Here is a 1,496-nt window from a genome sequence, read left to right on the forward strand (position 1 = left end):
AGAGCTTTACCAACGTGCTCTGGCGGGAAAGGCTGGCAGATGGGGGGCTCCGAGCCTGCACACATGTGGAGCCACAGGTCCTAGCCTCTCAGATGCCACAGTCACTGGCGCGGGACTCTGGGGTCCTGCTCTCCTGCTACTTGTCCCCAGGACCCCTCATTATCGCTACCATTATGAGGAAAGCAGGAGGGGGTCCCCTTACTGCCCCACCAAGCCAACCGTATTCTCTAGAAGAGCAGGGCTTGCGATCATAATGATAATCTCCATCCACATGTGTTCCCTGCTGAACAGTTTTCAAAGTGCTGCTTTTCCAAGCATTAGAAGGAATAAGTTCCTCCTTATGCTCACTCCAGCCTTGTGAGTACACGACTCTATATTCCTGTTGTGCAGCTAAGGAAATGGACTCCCAGAGGTGACCTGCCTTGCCTAAGTTCAAACCACAAAAACTGGCAGAGAAGGACTTCTCCTCCAGTGCTCTCTTTTCCACCAAGCCTCCAGAGCTGTACGACAGAGTGGGGGACCCGGATTCTCCCTGCAGGTGGAAAAACCAGCTGTGCACACTGGGCTTAATACCAAGAACTGCTCACCAGATCTGCAAATTCCTTTTCCTCCCCGGGAAGCCCAGACTGTGTGGGGGCTTAGAAACCAAGTCGAGAGATGTAAAGAAACCCAGGCAATGAGGTCTTAAAAAATAAATCCTTATTTTAAATATCCATTTAAACAAATGGATGCTAAGTATCTTTCTATTTTTTTTTTTTTTTTTTTTTCCTCTTGCCATCCACAGGTGCAAGAGGAGGGGCGGGGATGAGGGGAGGAGGGAGGAGGACAAGAATGAATGAAAGGCAAACAAATTCCCCCACTCCAGGCAGCAGCATAAACCACTTATTATTAACAGAGGCCCCAAGAGAGTCTTGTTTTTAATGTAATTTGGATTAAGCAGAGAAGGAACACGGGCTCCCACACACACCTTGGCATGATTAAATCAGCTACAAAGGCTGCTAGCCTCCCCTCCCCCGAGGGCTATCACTGGGGCTGGAAATAATTCCAGCTTCTAGACAAGGGATTTGGAGTCCAGGCCATCTCTGTGCCCCAAGGAAGTCCAGCACATACACGCTTGGACAGGGCCAGATAATGCCACCCTCCAAGCAGACCAGCAATCACCTGTCATCTCACTACCCAGGGATTCAACCTCAAAATTGGTTTTCTGTGTTCTCTGAAGACAATGAAGAGCACTTACCCAGAAATCAGCAAGCTTGCCATCAGGTCCTAGCTCTGTCACTCCACTAACAGGGTGAAATGACATTCCTTCTCTCTGAAAAGCTGGCCTGCAAGGGCACTAAAGCCTCACTCAATGCTGGCATTTCATGAGATAAAAAGTGTGCTTTTTCAAGTCCTGCTGTGCAATGTTTTATTCCCACCCTCCCACCCCAAGGACCCACAGAGTGTCCACCACTGAAAGATATCTTTAAAATGTTTATTAAATTAATAAAGAAAGG

The sequence above is a fragment of the Homo sapiens genome, chromosome 11, assembly GCF_000001405.40.
Source record: "Homo sapiens chromosome 11, GRCh38.p14 Primary Assembly".
Taxonomy (NCBI): Eukaryota; Metazoa; Chordata; class Mammalia; order Primates; family Hominidae; genus Homo; species Homo sapiens.